This window comes from Homo sapiens, chromosome 3, assembly GCF_000001405.40.
Source record: "Homo sapiens chromosome 3, GRCh38.p14 Primary Assembly".
In the NCBI taxonomy this organism is placed as follows: domain Eukaryota; kingdom Metazoa; phylum Chordata; class Mammalia; order Primates; family Hominidae; genus Homo; species Homo sapiens.
Window position 1 is genome coordinate 159,819,325 of NC_000003.12, and position 15,766 is coordinate 159,835,090.

At 39.4% G+C, this 15,766-nt stretch overlaps 2 protein-coding genes and 1 long non-coding RNA gene across 31 annotated transcripts in view; 2 read left to right on the top strand and 1 right to left on the bottom strand.

The window, feature by feature from the left end:
- Positions 1-8,501, bottom strand: part of LOC101928351 (uncharacterized) — a 28,725-nt gene extending 20,224 nt beyond the window's left edge. Inside the window, exons 1-2 of one of the 2 annotated variants that reach the window (XR_241608.4) lie at positions 5,954-6,129; positions 4,954-5,029 (exon numbers count right to left, since the gene is read on the bottom strand). This is a non-coding gene — a long non-coding RNA (uncharacterized LOC101928351). Of the gene's footprint in view, positions 1-4,953 lie in introns of both variants that reach the window. The other variant, XR_007096144.1, reaches the window with a different exon arrangement.
- IQCJ-SCHIP1 (IQCJ-SCHIP1 readthrough) overlaps positions 1-15,766 on the top strand; it is an 828,041-nt gene that overhangs the window by 750,006 nt on the left and 62,269 nt on the right. The window lies entirely within an intron of this gene.
- The window catches only part of SCHIP1 (schwannomin interacting protein 1), a 624,116-nt gene that overhangs the window by 546,081 nt on the left and 62,269 nt on the right, over positions 1-15,766 (top strand). The window lies entirely within an intron of this gene.

The window sequence follows — 15,766 nt, forward strand, 5'->3', positions numbered from 1 at the left end:
ACTTCTGCTTTTTGTTTCTGTAGAATAAAGTCACTATATCCAGCCCACACTTAAGGGGAAGGGAATTAAGCTCTCCTTTTCAAGGGAAGAATATCAAAGAATTTAGGGACGTATTTTAAAACCACCTACCTTCCCCAACCCATATATGTAAATCTTCTGAGGCAAAAAACAAAACAAAACAAAAACAGAAAGAAAAAAGCCCAGCATCACTACTAAAAGTAAATGGCACTGCTCTTTATCTGCTTGACTGTCACTTGCATGTTCTGGTCACCAGTGGCTCCAGTTAAAAAAACATTTCCCCTTCCCTAAACTGCTTCATAAGGAATGTTTTCATAGCAGAGAAATCTTTACTTTTCAAAGGAATTTATGGGGACTGGAAAGTGTAGAGATAATAATAGTTTGTCCTCTTGATTAAGCCCTGACTCTAGACCAGGCAGTGTATCTAGGACTGACTTCCATTCTTTGTACTGCAGGCCAGTAGCCTAAGGGAAGCCACCAGGTGGCTGAGCTGGTGCCTGGGCCCTTCCACAGATTCTTCTGCAGGTGCTTCCATCTTCCTGTCACCCTTAGGTGAGGCGTAGCCCTCAGAGGATGAGGGTTAGCCCCCAGCTCATTCCTGCATGATATTCCTAGCCACAGGCCAGATGGCTCAGGTAACCAGATCCTGGGAGCCATGTCTCCCAGAGCCAGTTGATCTTGGTTGGGATTGGCCAGATATTTCTGGCAGTTTTTTGGGGGGATCACATAGACTTGAATGAAAGCTGTACAAGGTTACAAGGCTCACACACCTGGCAACCAGGAGAACTCTGCTGTTGGCTCTTCCCACCCCTCTGACCAAACTCCTGATGAACATTCTGAAAAAAAGACTTCTATGGCCCCAAAAGAGCAACCCTAAAGTTAATTCTGTAGTTTAAAGTGATTTGGGGGGTAAAGGAGCAGAACCAATTCTAGAATAAAGGTGTTTTTACAGCCCACCTCCAGCCCCCACAACCCTACCTTAATCAAAATAAGTATTAGGAACTTATTCCACTTAAGGATAAATCAGACACTAAGCCTAAACACTTGAAATTATAATTTCTTCCTGTGAGATGAAATGATTAAAATTTCTACAAATTATGATTACACACAGATCCTTTAAAGAAAAATATATATGTATGTATTTTCAAATGAGTTTATCAATATGGTATAGAATATTTTAAAATATTTAACTTTCAGTCTGTCTGAAATGAAATGAATTTTAGTTTATAGGAGTGGGAAGTAAAGTAACTGAAATCTGAAGAAAAGTAAGAAAAGAAGATTGTGGGTGCAAGAGTGTTAGGAGGTCAGGGTTGAGAGAGATCAGTAGTTTATTTTTTAGGCATGATACCTTTAAGATACTTGTTAAATATGCAAGTGGAAATGAGCAGTAGGTGGTTGGATAAAGGAGTCTGGAGTTCAGAAGAAGGTCTAGGCTAGAGGTACAAGTGACTAGCCAAGAAAATGGATGACCTTACCCAGAAAGTGAGTTTAGATTGAGAAGAACTCTAAGGACTAATCCTTGGATATTGTGTAGTGTTATACAATAGAACTTTCTTCCAAGATGGAAATGTTCTCTATCGTCACTGTCCAGTACAACAGCCACTAGACACATGTGGCTGTTGAGCACTTAAAACATGGCTAGTGCAACTGGGAAACTGAATTTTTAATTTTATTCAGTTTAAATAGCCACATGTAGTTAGTGACTACAGCTCCAGTGGGTAAAAGTGGAAGAAATGGGGGATGAGCAAAGGAGAAGCCTTTAATGAAGGAAAAGAACCAGAGGAGAACGTTGTCTTAGAAGCCAGCTATGTTGAACGTTGCTCATAGATCTAGTTGAGGAAGATTTAGGATGGTGTAGCATGGTGAAGACAAAAGCCTGATTGGAAAGTGTTCAAAGGAGAAAAAAGGGGAGAGAGAAATTGTAGACAGCAAGTCTGGACAAGTCTTTCAAGGAGTTTTGTGGTTGTCTAGGAGAGTGTGGGAGTAAACAGACAGGGAAAATGTAGAGAGGGCCAGGCAGTGCCGAGGGCGCTCTTGAGGTTAGTGGTCATGAATTTAAATGAGACCAGTTAGTGTGATCATACAGTCATTCCCCCTTATCCACCGAGGCACATTCCACCACCCCCAGTGGATGCCTGATACCATGGATAGTACTGAACGCAATTGCCATCAACTGAAACATGTTTCTGTCCATGTCTTCAACCCATAAATTTAATGCCTTTCCATCTTAACTAAGAACTTATACACTGTGCTGTAACTTCTGCAGTTCGAAGCATGACAGTGAAACTAGCACAAATTTATTTTTCCTTTTTCACAATTTCACAGATAAAAGATTTGGTTTTATTGTAGGTCATAGCAACCTCAGCATTCATTTTTTTTCTTTCCTTATTAAGTCAAGAACTTTTACCTTTTCACTTAAAGGAAGCACTTTACAGCTTCTCTTTGGCATATCCGAATTACCAGCATCACTACTCTTTCATTTGGGGCCGTTATTAGGTAAAATGAGGGTCACTTGGACACAGCACTGTGATACTGCGACAGTTCATCTGATCACCAAGCCAGCTACTAAGTGACTCACAGGCAGGGACTGGAGACAGTGTGGATGCACTGGACAAAGAGATGATTCGGTCCTGCATGGGACAGAGCAGGATGGTGTGAGATTTCATCACGCTATTTAGAATGGCACTCAATTTAAATTTTATAAATTGTTTATTTCTGGAATTTTCCATTTAATGTTTTTGGAACTTTGTTGACTGTGGGTAACTGAAATGGCAGATAAGGGGAGACACTGTATATTTTTCTCCAGCCACATATGTCAGCTGAGAGCAGGCACAGAGTAGCAAACAGCTGAATTTATCCACAGGTGGGATTTAACCAAGTGAATATGAAGTGAGGGGGCAAGTGAGAATAATTGATTGAGTTAAGGGTTGCAATGATAGGTAAGGGAATCTAAGACACAGAGAGAGAGGAGAGGACACCCTGAGAGTACAGAATGGTGAAAAGTGGACAGTATATGGGGTATAAGGCCTAGTGCAATGGAAGAATTATTGGATTAAGAATAGTTGGAAAGAATGAACTGGAATGACAATGCAAGATTGTTGGAGAAGGGGAGGCTTGAAGATGAAATTATGGAGGGCATGAAGTTGTTGGTAATGGCAAAATAGGATATGGCCATGGGAGCAGGTATAATTGAGATGGAATGGAAAAAGACGGAATTTACAGGCCAAAATTTTGCAGGGACCATCTAACAGACATGGAAATTTCCAGGATTTATATAGGTTGGTGCAAAAGTAGATGCGGTTTTTGCCATTACTTCCAATGGCAAAAACCGCAACTACTTTTGCACCAACCTAGTAACAGAACTAACACTGGAAAATGACTCTTCAAGACATGAGGCAGAGTAATCTGGGGAGGAATAGGTGGCTGCAACGGGGAGGGCTAACTGGTGTTGGTATCAGCAGTCTGCAGGTAGGAGATTCAGAGCAGGGTGTTAGGAAGGACAGACAATTAATTGTTTGCAAGCAAGAGAGTAGCAAGGAAGACACCTACTCATCCAACAGGCTGTTTGGCAAGAGGGAGGTGGGAGAGAAAACAGCCACCTCTTGAGAGCCATAGGAGAAGGCAGTGCCTTCAGGCTCTGTTAGAGCAAGACAGTGAAAGGAACGCTTATGAGAGAGGGCCCACCGAAAGGACTTATGATGGACTTGGGGAGGAATAGGAGTTGGCCAGAGAGGGTTGGACAGAGCCATATGGAAAGGAGAGTGAATAAGGAGGTGAATGAGGGATGACCTGGAGTTGAGGAGTATAAATTGGAGTAAGAAGTACCTTGAGGTGAAGCTTGATGGGGTCTCCAAGACAGACAGTAGACGTAAAGGTGCTAGTGTGGGAGGCAAGAGAAGAGTTCATACTTAGAGCAAGATCTCTGGATCTTTGGACTGACAGCAATGGGCGGTAGGTGGTCTTATGAAGAGGATGAGGGTCATGAAGGAAACCTCCTCGAAAATTACAGAATACCCCTCAGGTGTCCTACAGTTCCTGCATCTCTTAACCTGCTTTTTCTAAACTTGAAGCAGTTATGCTTAAACTCATCAACGACCTCAGTTAGATTCCTCTTCTGTAGTGTGGAGTTAATCCTATGGTAGAGCTCAGTGTTGGAGCAAGGACAAATGATGACAATGTCAGGGCCAGCGTGGGTCCCAGCAGTGGTGCTTGGTAGAGGTCAGTTTCCTCCTCTCCTCCCTCAGCTCCCTCTTGAATTTCCCCTCCTATGAAGGGAAGTTGTCTTTCCATTGGTATTTGCATGCCAAAAGTCGAAGATGCCTTTTCCTTCCCAGACTGAAAACCTATGTAATTCTCGACATAAATGACTGTATGTCTGGTTTCTCTCTACTTCCATCTGCCCACCTTTGACAGGCTTCATGGGTATGTGACCTCCGTAGGCTTTGAAAGGCCCTGCTCTTGGTTTAATGTTCTGCTGTTACCACCCTAAAATTCTTAATGTTTTAACAATGGTTCCCCATTTTCATTTTGCACAGAGCCCTGCAAAGTGCCCATTCTAAACCCTAAAAACTAAGTAACTGGTGAAACATGACCACGGGACAGTCAGGTAATTTGATTTATCATCCCATTAATGTGTCAGCATTTCAGGATGAAGGGTATTTTGAAAGTAATGGAAAACACCTTAACCATATCCTTTGTAAACAAGAACGTAATTGAGTACATCTAAACCCCTATGAACGCCCAACCTTTAATCTTATTTTTTCAGCATGAAAAAACATCATCTCTTTCAGAAAGATTCTTCATTTATTGTCATTAACCCTCATATTAATAAATTGAAAATCTGAAAGTTATTCTTAACTTCAAGTGAAGCTTGACTGAATTATTATTATTCATGCCAAACAGAGCATTGAATTCTTTCTTTAGAGCATTTCTTACCTGGATGTAGAAGTGCTCTTGTTAATTTTACAGCAGACATCTGTTTCCTCCAATGTGTATGTCCAAGAGGTGTAGCCTTGAGATGAGGAAAGAAATAACATGGGCAGGGCAGGCATGCATACCAGACTGGATCGTCATTTGTCATTTATCTGGACAGAAGGCATACTGGCCTCATTCCACTCACCAGCTGGGAAGAACAAACTCCCTACACAGATATAGCCATCAAACTTAGATTATGGTGACTAATGCTAAATGAAGAGTCCACACGGGCTTTCTAGGTTCAGCAGGGCCAGACCTGTACTCTATGTACTCTTGACCCAGATTCAGAATTAATTTATCACCTTGACAGGCAACCAAGTGCCTGGAGTACTGAAACTTTAGTAGTTATTTAATGTGGGAATCACAGTAATGATGCTGTAATATAAAACAGCAAATATTTCCTAGAGGGACAGCATTTGGATTGGAGAGAGACTCACACCACATCCACAATTTCTTCTTCAAACATTAGAATACTTTTTGGAAAGCGACAGCCTAAATTGTAGGTTGTTTCTTGGTTTTAACTGTCATTTGTATTTGTTTGTTTTCCTCTAAGAAAACAAATATGCTCTTTTTTTCTTTTCTTTTTAATTTACTTTTTTTCTCTCACCTAAACCCCCATAGTAGACAGGCAAATTTAAAAGTATGTCTTTCAAAAACCCAGTTTGTCTTCCTACTGGCCATTTTGCCTTCTATTCTCTGATTAGAAAACTAATTGTGATACTTTATTATTCTTTAGATATAAGAATTCTGACTTTTTACACTTATCAATAGACTTTTTTGAAGTGTACAAGTTGGCAATATTAAGTTATTTGTTTTGCTGGGCTATTTCTGGAACTAAAGATTTATCACATAAGGTGACAAATTGAGAAAAGGAAAAAAACTAGGCTTTTTTTTCTTCTTAACTAATTTTTATTAAATTGGGGGCATCTAGTTACTGCAGTTGAGTAAGTGTTAGCCTTACCTGGGAAGCTGTAAATGATTATTTTGCCCTCAAGTGCAGCTGGCAGAGTCATCCATGTCCCTGAGGCACATCTGCAGAGTGAGTGGGCCCCTTTGAGCCTGCCCAAGCCACAGCTCACAGTGAGGAGGGAAGTGTAGCCCAAAGGTCTTGCCAGGCTTAGCTCACAAGGTGGCAGTCACTTAGCATCCAGGAAAGCTTCATTCATTGTCTTGAGGTGAGCAAGTGGCCACTTGACCAGCTTTCCCACAGGTAGTCAATAGAACTAATGACAGCTGGTCACAGGCACACTCCTGCCCTCGATCCCAAGGCCCTAAAGTGAGAGAACTTCTCGAGAATTTCATTCATTCCAATATTTTTTGGACACCTACTATATGCCTGGCACTGTGCCAGATGCTAGATGGGCAATGGTTGACGTGATACATATGGCCCTTGCTCTCTCACGGAGCATACAATCTAGTGGAGCAAATCAACGTTACAAATCCCACAAATTAGAGGGAAAAAAAAACAGTATGCTAAGTGAATTTAAAGCAGGACCTTATTTAGACAGGGGGCTAAGGAAAAACCTCCAACTTTAAGCAAGAGAGGTGACTCAGGTGAAGGCAGAGGGCTTACAGGTTGAGAAACAGCTTGTGTGAGGGCCCTGAGACAGTTGCAGGCACGAGCTTGGCTTTTCCAGAAAACTCAAAGGCCACCAGTGTGCCTAGAGCTGTGTGAGCAAGATTTTGAGAGGTGCAAAGAAGTCAGGAGGGTAGATCAGGGCCAATAACATAATGCTGGATAACAGCATTAGAGATTTAGGATTTTATCCTAAATGTTGTGGAAAACCGAGGAGTTTGAAACCAAGATGTGACAAAATCTGATTATGTTTTTAGAAGTATTTTTAATTCACAAAGGGTAAGGTTTAATGGAGGGCAAGCCCTTAATTTTTTGTATCACTTTGGGAACTAAATCAAGGAGCATGAAACCATCAAAATGATCGAATCAGGGGCAGCCGGGTGAGTGAGTGGGGCTAAATTTGTGCCATCTGAAATTAGGGTCAAAGTTCTGATGGCTTCAGTTGTAGTGACAGTTCTGCTGCAGAAATCCCGTCTGTCCTTTGGAAAATAAATTTGATTTTAAAAACCTCAAAACATAGCCCAAGTAGCTTAAACCATCAGTACAAGTTTCCACTGACATCTGCCATGCAAATTTGTACTTCTTCAGCCAGTTGCTCTTCCTCACAGTTAACGCTGGAAATCAGAGGCCATGAGAAGAAAGCAAGTGTGGATATTTGGGCATGGTAGATGGTGTTCATTTTCCTAGATTTTAAAAATTTGATTGAAAGTCAAGAGTGAAAACAAACCAACCCTAAAGTCCCTTAGCATCATCTCAGATAAGGGGAGAAGAGAGATGTTGGAATGAGGTAGGTAGGTTTATCTAAGATGCTGAAACTCAGAAGGACTGCTCATTTCTATCTTGACCTTCTTAGTAAATAATAAAAAAGCCCCAGCACTTTCAACAAGTGAACACTTTGTGGGCCCAACTTATGTGTCTGAAAGAGACTCTCTTTGCTATTCACCAGGGAAAACTGGTTTAAATTGGAGGGTTTTAGAAGAGTTGGGATTAATGTGCAGATTGATTTTACTGCGTATGAATCTTCTGTGACTGATGGTTTAACCCTTCTCATTGAGAATGAGTTTACCTGGTGTCATGTGTTGGGAGTAGCATAATTTCCTGATCAGTACCTTTATAATTCTGAAATAATTTACTTCTAAAAGATGAGAAACTTTCTTAATTCAATAGCTTTAGGACAAAGCAAGTTAAGTAACTCAAATGTTTTTGTGACATTTTTCTTTTACTTCAGAAAACTTTTTAGAATAGTGTTTCTTCTACTATTCAGATGACTAAAATAATTTGAATATTTCTTCTGAGAGAATGAAAATGAGAAAGGATGTACGAACAGTCCATGTCGCTGCTTAACTCGCCCTAGAAAAGCTGGTCAGAGAACAGACCTAAGGAAACTCTTTAGTACGAAATTTCATTATAACTAATAGCAATAGCATTTCAGCACTACCTCTGTATTTAAAAAAGAAAAAAGATTTAGGGACCCTTGACAAATTTAATAGCTCCTTAGAGATGATGTTAACAGTTTAGTCATAAATTTTATGTTTCTGTCCTGTGTTCAGTGACATACCAGGAAAACACATTTTCAGAAAAGGTATGCTATGTAAATTCTTTTCATTACTATTTTACGTTATCCTACAAAATAATTTTTTTGAAAATAGAAGCCTGTAATCCCAGCACTTTGGGAGGCCGAGGCGGGTGGATCATGAGGTCAGGAGATCGAGACCATCCTGGCTAACAAAGTGAAACCCCGTCTCTACTAAAAATACAAAAAATTAGCCGGGCACGGTGGCGGGCGCCTGTAGTCCCAGCTACTCGGGAGGCTGAGGCAGGAGAATGGCGTGAACCCGGGAAGCGGAGCTTGCAGTGAGCCGAGATTGCGCCACTGCAGTCCGCAGTCCGGCTTGGGCGACAGAGCGAGACTCCGTCTCAAAAAAAAAAAAAAAGAAAATAGAAACGCTGGAAATATTTTTTTAAATAGTAACTCTGATTTTCATAGTAAATTCAATTTTCATAATGAACTCATGATCTAGTGTGTTTAGTTTTTGAAATGTCCATGATCAATGTAAAAAGAAAAAACAAACTCATCACCTTTACTCTCATTAAATTTCTATAAGGAAGACCTTCAATTGAAATCTAATTTTTTTTTGTTGACTCACCCAATGCTATATATAATATATTATTGTTATATTGTATTGCTGATGTGGAAAACTCATGATATAAAATGAAATTGATATAAAAAGACAGCCATCTGACAGCCTGAAAGTGGGCGGCAGGGGCAGTTTATAACTCAATTCATATTGTAGATTAGGAAATAGAGGCTGACAGCTATGAAGCAGTAGCCCAAGGAAACACACCTAATAAGAAGTGCAGTCAAGTCCAGAACCAGGTCTTTGATTTGATCCAAAATTTTATCAACTCTAGAACCATCAAAGATGGCCTAGATTGCAACTTTGGATGAATTAGCATTAGTGTAACCTTTATATATATATATACATATATATATACATATATACGTATATATATACGTATATATACGTATATATATACGTATATATACGTATATATATACGTATATATATGTATATATACACACACATACACATACATACCAATGTAGCTGAAGATTTATGTATTTATATTACAGTTATTAAAGGTATTATTGAAATGTTAATGAGAAAATGTATCGTACTTTTGACATTTTTTTTTCATAATACTATCCCAAACAGATTAAAAAACACAATAGTCCACTAGAGGGCACCTTTCTTCAACATCACGGTCTGTTCTCTTCCCCAGTACTCTATTAACCTGGTTTTAATCAGCCACTATCGCCTCGGAGCATTGAAAAGCTTTTTTATTGTCAGAGATTCCATGTACTGCTTTAGCAAAATGCATTTGTATTGGTAGGCAAGGCTATCTGTGCTGCTAAGATACCTGGAATGATAAAGGGGAAGCATGACCCTTATTCCCCTACACACATACACGCATGCACACAAACTTTGTGTTAGTTTGAGCTTAGCCCTTCTTGACATGACAACCCAACTTATTTTTATTTGGAAAGTCTTGCCTTAGCCCTGGCAAATTTATACTACTTTTCACTTTTTCTGCCACTGCGTTCTCTGACTCCAAATGCTGGAAAACAGAGAGTAAAAGAGATGGTCTTTAAATGTTGACATAAATTGGGGACGAAACGATGTAGACTTCACCCAGATTTACCTATCCGTCAGTTGCTGTTTTTCTACAGCATGTGAATTTCAGTTACTGTTGGGCATAAAATACTATGGGAAAAATAATAGGATTGTGTCCAATAAACAAGTACTCTGGCAGATTCTATTGAAATATAAAACCATCTCATTATTCTAGAGGCAAAGGGAGGCTGCCTGCTATAGCATTGCCTAATGTATTACATTTCAAACTGTGTCTGTAGAAACCCAGGGTTGCTGGAGATATTTTTAGAGATTAATTTGTACCTATTATATGAGCGGCTAAACATCTCATCCCCAAGCCCCCCAAAAAAAATCAAACTGGAAATTAAAGAGTTGTGAAATGTGAAAATAATTCAGAATACAACTACAAATGAGATAGTCTATGGGACTTTGGAGAAAAGTCCTGTAAAGCTGTGGTAAGAAGAATATAACGTTTCAGCCCAAACTGTAATGATTTAATTCCCTCATAATCTGTGCAAAGTATTTCTCTCAACCCAATTTTTCGACGTCAGCATATTTAATTTATCCTGCCAGGTGAAGTAGTCTTTCACAGTCCTCAAAATCAACGAACTTATAAATATGTGTCATTGACCATGAAGGTGGTAGCTCTGTACTGGCCTTTCTAAAAAATTCATGCCTGTGCATGCCCAAGCAATAAAATTACGCAAGTTGCCCAGAGGCCCAGCTTGGTTCAGTGCCAGGTTAGGATCAGGCACATCTGTTTGGCACAGTCTCTCATCAAGCCTAACAGTCGGTTGTGCAATGACAAGCAAACACCCAATATATCAAATGAGAAGGTACTGTTATAGATTAATGACCTATTGTAAGTTTGGGTACTCTGTCTTATCTTGTTTATAATCAGAAATATGAGTAATTGCTATATATTGTTAGTAAACCAATTTTGAATAAGTTTCTTGCTACTTTGCTTTTAAGATTCTGGACATGTTTAATGAAGAATACGCAGAGATTGCAACATAATCCATTAAAAGAACCATTACCATTTACAACTACTTACTTGTGTGAAACAGGATTCTTTCGATGTGGCACAACCAAACAAAATCTTATTCCAGATGTAGCTTTACATTTAGTTCTATGTAAAGCTATATCTGGAATAAGATTATAACTGACATCTATAAATTCTGCTTTCTCTTTTTTTGTATCACAAACAGCATCATGTTCTCATTGAGAGACACATGAATATAGATTTGAACTCAGAATAATTTTATCCTGATAGAAACATTTGATTGTTTTGCATGTTGGTTTTCATATTGATTTTCATTTTAAAAGCAAATTCTAGTATTTAAGAAAATAGAAGAAAAAGTGACAACCAATTAGTGATTCACACTAATAATTTTCTCAGGAAACTATTTTTTTCATATAATGTGAAATAATAAACATAAGCATAACCAAGGTCAGAATAGTCCAAACTTCTGAGTAAATTAATTTACATAGGTTATAAGACTCTCAGGTAAATTTCTTATTTATAATTATAAGGCTAAAAAATTATAACCTGTCTCATTTTTATTCTTCCCTTACTTTCTATTTTTGGGCCTCAGAGTATTGTTGGAAGTGGAGAAGTATCCTGACACCAGCTGTCCTCTTCTGGGGCTCTGTTCCACATCTATAGTGTGGGAAATGACCTTGACGCAATAGTAGCCTGCAAGTACACTACCAGACATTCTATCCCAGAAGTCACAGGCCAAATTAAGATGTTCAGATCACACAGTTCTTTACCTCTATTTAAAATGCAAGGCAAGAAGCAAGGGAAAGAGATGGGATGAGCTGACTACTTAGGATATGGCACAGGAGTATGGCAGGACCTTGAGTTACACAATATTTATATGTCCAGCCTCTCTGCCACAACAGCCTTTCCTGTTGAGGATATGGTTATGAACCACAGTTGAGGTTTGAGAAAGGATTCCTGTTCCACTTAGACACAAGGTATCTGCCAGTGACACACAACTTGCTTTGTAAGAGACAGAGCCAATTCCCTCTGGCTTCCTCTGTAGCTTGCCTCTTAGCCTGATGAGAAGCTGGGGATTGCATTTACATTTCTTGGGCAGAGGACACATTGGACCAGAATGGGTGTCATCAATGGGAAATCAACATAAAATCTAATGAATGAGGGCCTCATGTGGCTCAGATGATTTAGTGTGTCATGAATATTAGGCGGTTCTTTAGTCTTTTCATCCCTTTCTATGCTTGGCACCTACACACTTGATCTAGGCTTAACAAATCTGCTACTAACTTACTTATTGATATTTAACACATCTCATGAATTCTGACTACAGTAGTCTCCCCCTTGGCCTGCCAGGGATACTTTCCAGGACCCTCGGAGGATGCCTGAAACCGTGGATAGTCCCAAACCCAATATATTATGGTTTTTTCCTATACATACCTATTATAAAGTTTAATTTATAAATTAGGTACAGTAAGAGATTCACAATAACTAATCATAAAATAGAATAATTATAACAATATGCCAGCATCATGGCTCTTGCATTTTGAGGTCGTTATTAAGTAAAGTAAGGGTTACTTGAATACAAGCATTATGATACCAAGACAGTCAAACTGATACTGAGCCAGCTACTTAGTGACTCCTGGGTGTAGAGTGTCCACAGTGTGGATATGCTGGACAAAGAGAGGATTCACATCCTGGGTAGGATGGCACGAGGGTTCATCAGAAGAATGGCACAGAATTTAAAACTTATGAATTGTTTATTTCTGGAATTTTCCATTTAATAGTTTCAAACCATGGTTGACTACAGGTAACTAAAACCTTGAAAAGCGAAACCATAGATAAGGGGGAATGATTGTATGTCTGTTTACTTACTCATTATCTAAATGTAACACATACATTTCACCTGTGTCTTATAAGCTACTACATAGTCATTATCTATACTTAACACACGTTTATGAGTTTCATCCATCTTCTTTTTCTTGTTCATCTGTAGCAGAATTGACTGTTGTCAAATAATACAACAAAGCCCCTACAAAATCTCTTGGAAAGAGATTTCTTACTGGTGCAGCCTCTGATTCCACATCCTTGCCCTAGGGGTTTTAACCTGCAGCAGCTCCAACCAAGCAGCTTTAGGGACCAGATCAAGGCCACCCAGCCATCTGTGCTCCTGTATCTTCCCCTATCGCCACCACAACTTCCTCTTTACTCGACATTAATTTGTAACTTTACTCACCATATCTTCAGTCCCAAGACTGAATGAATGCCTGCCAGACACTCCTGACCCAGTTCTTCTAGCACCTGGCCCTTATTTTCTATTCACCATCATCAGTTTCTCCCTTTGCTGGCTCCTTTCCTGCTGCCCACCTAGACATTTGGGTCTCCCACATCTTAAACATCAGCTACATTGGCAACCTCTCCAAGCTACCAGCCTAATGCTCTGATTTATTAACAAGCTTGTTCACAAACTCTCAACTCAGACCCTCAACTTCTTAGCCACAACCACCCAGCTTCCACCCCTAACACACGACTACTGAAATTATTCCCTTGGCATAACTCGTGACTTCCTAATAGTCCAAATTAATGGCTTCTGGTTGTTTTTCTCCTCCGCGTCCCTGCAGTATTTGAAGAAACTAGGCTCTGTCAGCGTTCCCTCTCTTCTTGTCACTTCTCACTGTGTTAGTTTTCATTCTCTTCTCACTTTGTTGACTATGTCTCCTTTGCATCCCCTTGCTCTCTAAATGTGGGCTTCCTACCCTTATCTGCAGTCTCATTTTCCTTAGTTTCAGTTACCATCGGTCAACTGTGGTGTGAAAATATTAAGCTATTTTGAGAGAGAGACCACATTCACATGACTGTTACTACAGTATATTGTTATAATTGTTCTATTTTATTACCTGTTATTGTTGTTAATCTCTTACTGTGCCTAAGTTATAAATTAAACTTTATCACAGATATGTACGTATGGGAAAAACATGGTATGTATAAGGTTCAGTACTATCTTCAGTTTCAGGCATCCGCTAGGGGTCTTGGAATGTATACCACATGGATAAGGAGGGACTACTGAGTTAGTTTTCTATTTCTGCTATAACAAAGTCTTCCAAATTTAGTGGCTTAAATCAACACAAATTTATTGGTATTATAATATCAAAAGTTGGAAGTCCTAAATGGGTCTCACTGGACTAAAATCAAGGTGTCCACTGAGCTGCATTCTTTCTGGAGGCTCTAGAGAAATATCAGTTTCCTTGCCTTTTCCATCTTCTAGGGACAGCCCACCTTCCTTGGCTTGTGGCCTCTTCTTCCATCTTCAAAGCCAACAACAACATTGGACCAAGCCTTTCTCATACTGCCGTCTCTGGTTCTTTCTCTTATGCCTCCCCGACTTTTACTTTATAAGACCCTTGTGATTATTACATTGAGCTCATCTGGATAACCAGGCTACTTTCCCCATCTCAAAGACAGCTGCTTATCATAATTTTACCTTGCCGCTTGGGGATTAGGTTGTAGACAGTTGACCCAGGAGACAGGGGACATTATTGTGCCTTCCACAGTGATGTCTTTGTTTCTCTTTAGTTCTGTCTCTACAATCTCTCCCTTAATCTAATTCATTTTTACAGCTTCAACTGTCCTCTCTGTGCAAAAGACCCCTAAATTCTACCTGTCAGCCTGATCTCTCTTAAGCTCCAGCTGCCTCTTACACCTTCAACTGCGAATTTTATGATGAAAATTTAAACCTCCTTACTCTACCCCAACCCTCTCAGAATCAGTTCCTTCTGCTAACTTCCCTGTTTCTTTTCACAGCACCAGTTTTACTCCAGTAATGGTCTCAAAACCTCACAATTCCTTATCTTGCTCACTCCCCCATGTAGATCACTGCCTAAGTGCCATCAGTTCCTTTTTTGGTGTCTTGGGATGCATCCCTCTGTCTTTGCCCTTCCATTCCCATGATCTCCTCTATCCTCCAAAGGACTCTATTCCTTGGACAGTTGATGTTGTTCTTAATTAGGAGAAGAAAACATCCATTTCTCTTCCTTTCCTGAGTACGTAAGAGCTGTTTTACATTACTCCCATTTCATCATGTTACCATGAGGGTCATATGCATTTATTCAATTGTTTCAAAGTATTTATTGAGAACCAGGTACTATGTCAGACATTGGGGATATAGCACTGAGTAAACCAACCAAGATGTAAGTTCTAAGGAAATTCACATTAATCTAGATCTACAAAATACAGACATTAAATAAGTGAATAACCAAATGAACAAGATTGTTGCAGTCTCCTGGTTCACTCTAGCTGAGCGTTCTCTTCTCTTGAATTTCTAGTGAGCAAACAAAATATTCGGAGGCATTTAACTCATCTTCGTCATATCTAGTCATTTGTGTACTGCCTCATTTCTCTTACCAAACTTCTCGAGGGCAGAAACACTACTTCACATGGCACATGATAGGAGCTTGTTTCAACTACAAAAATCAAGGAAGATGTTGAGGAAAACACTTTGTGTTTCTGCGAAGCATTTTTAAAGGTTTATTGTCTGTAGATGATGCCAGTTTTGTTGGTGGCAACAATACAGGTTGAGCATTCCTCAACCCCAAAATCTAAAATCTGAAATGCTGCAAAGTCCCAAATTTTTTGAGTATTGACATGATGCCACAAGTAGAAAATTCCACACCTGACCTCATGTGACAGGTGGCAGTCAAAATGAAGTCAAAACTTTGTTTCATGTACAAAATTATTATGAAATATTGTATAAAATTACCTTCAGGTGATGTGTATAAAGTGCATATGAAACAAAAATGAATCTCGTGTTTAGACCTGGGTACCATCCCTAAGATATTTCATTATGCATATGCAGATATTCCAAAATCCAGGACAATTCTGGTCCCAAGCATTGTGGATAAGGTTTACTCAACCTGTAGTGACAAGTAATTCTTTGGGTGCGGCATTCAAGGACCTAGTTTCCCTGATATCCACAGTATTAATTTTTCTCGTCATTCCTTTTCTTTCATTGCCCAGTAAAGAAGTACAACTTAAGCTATATGTCTACTT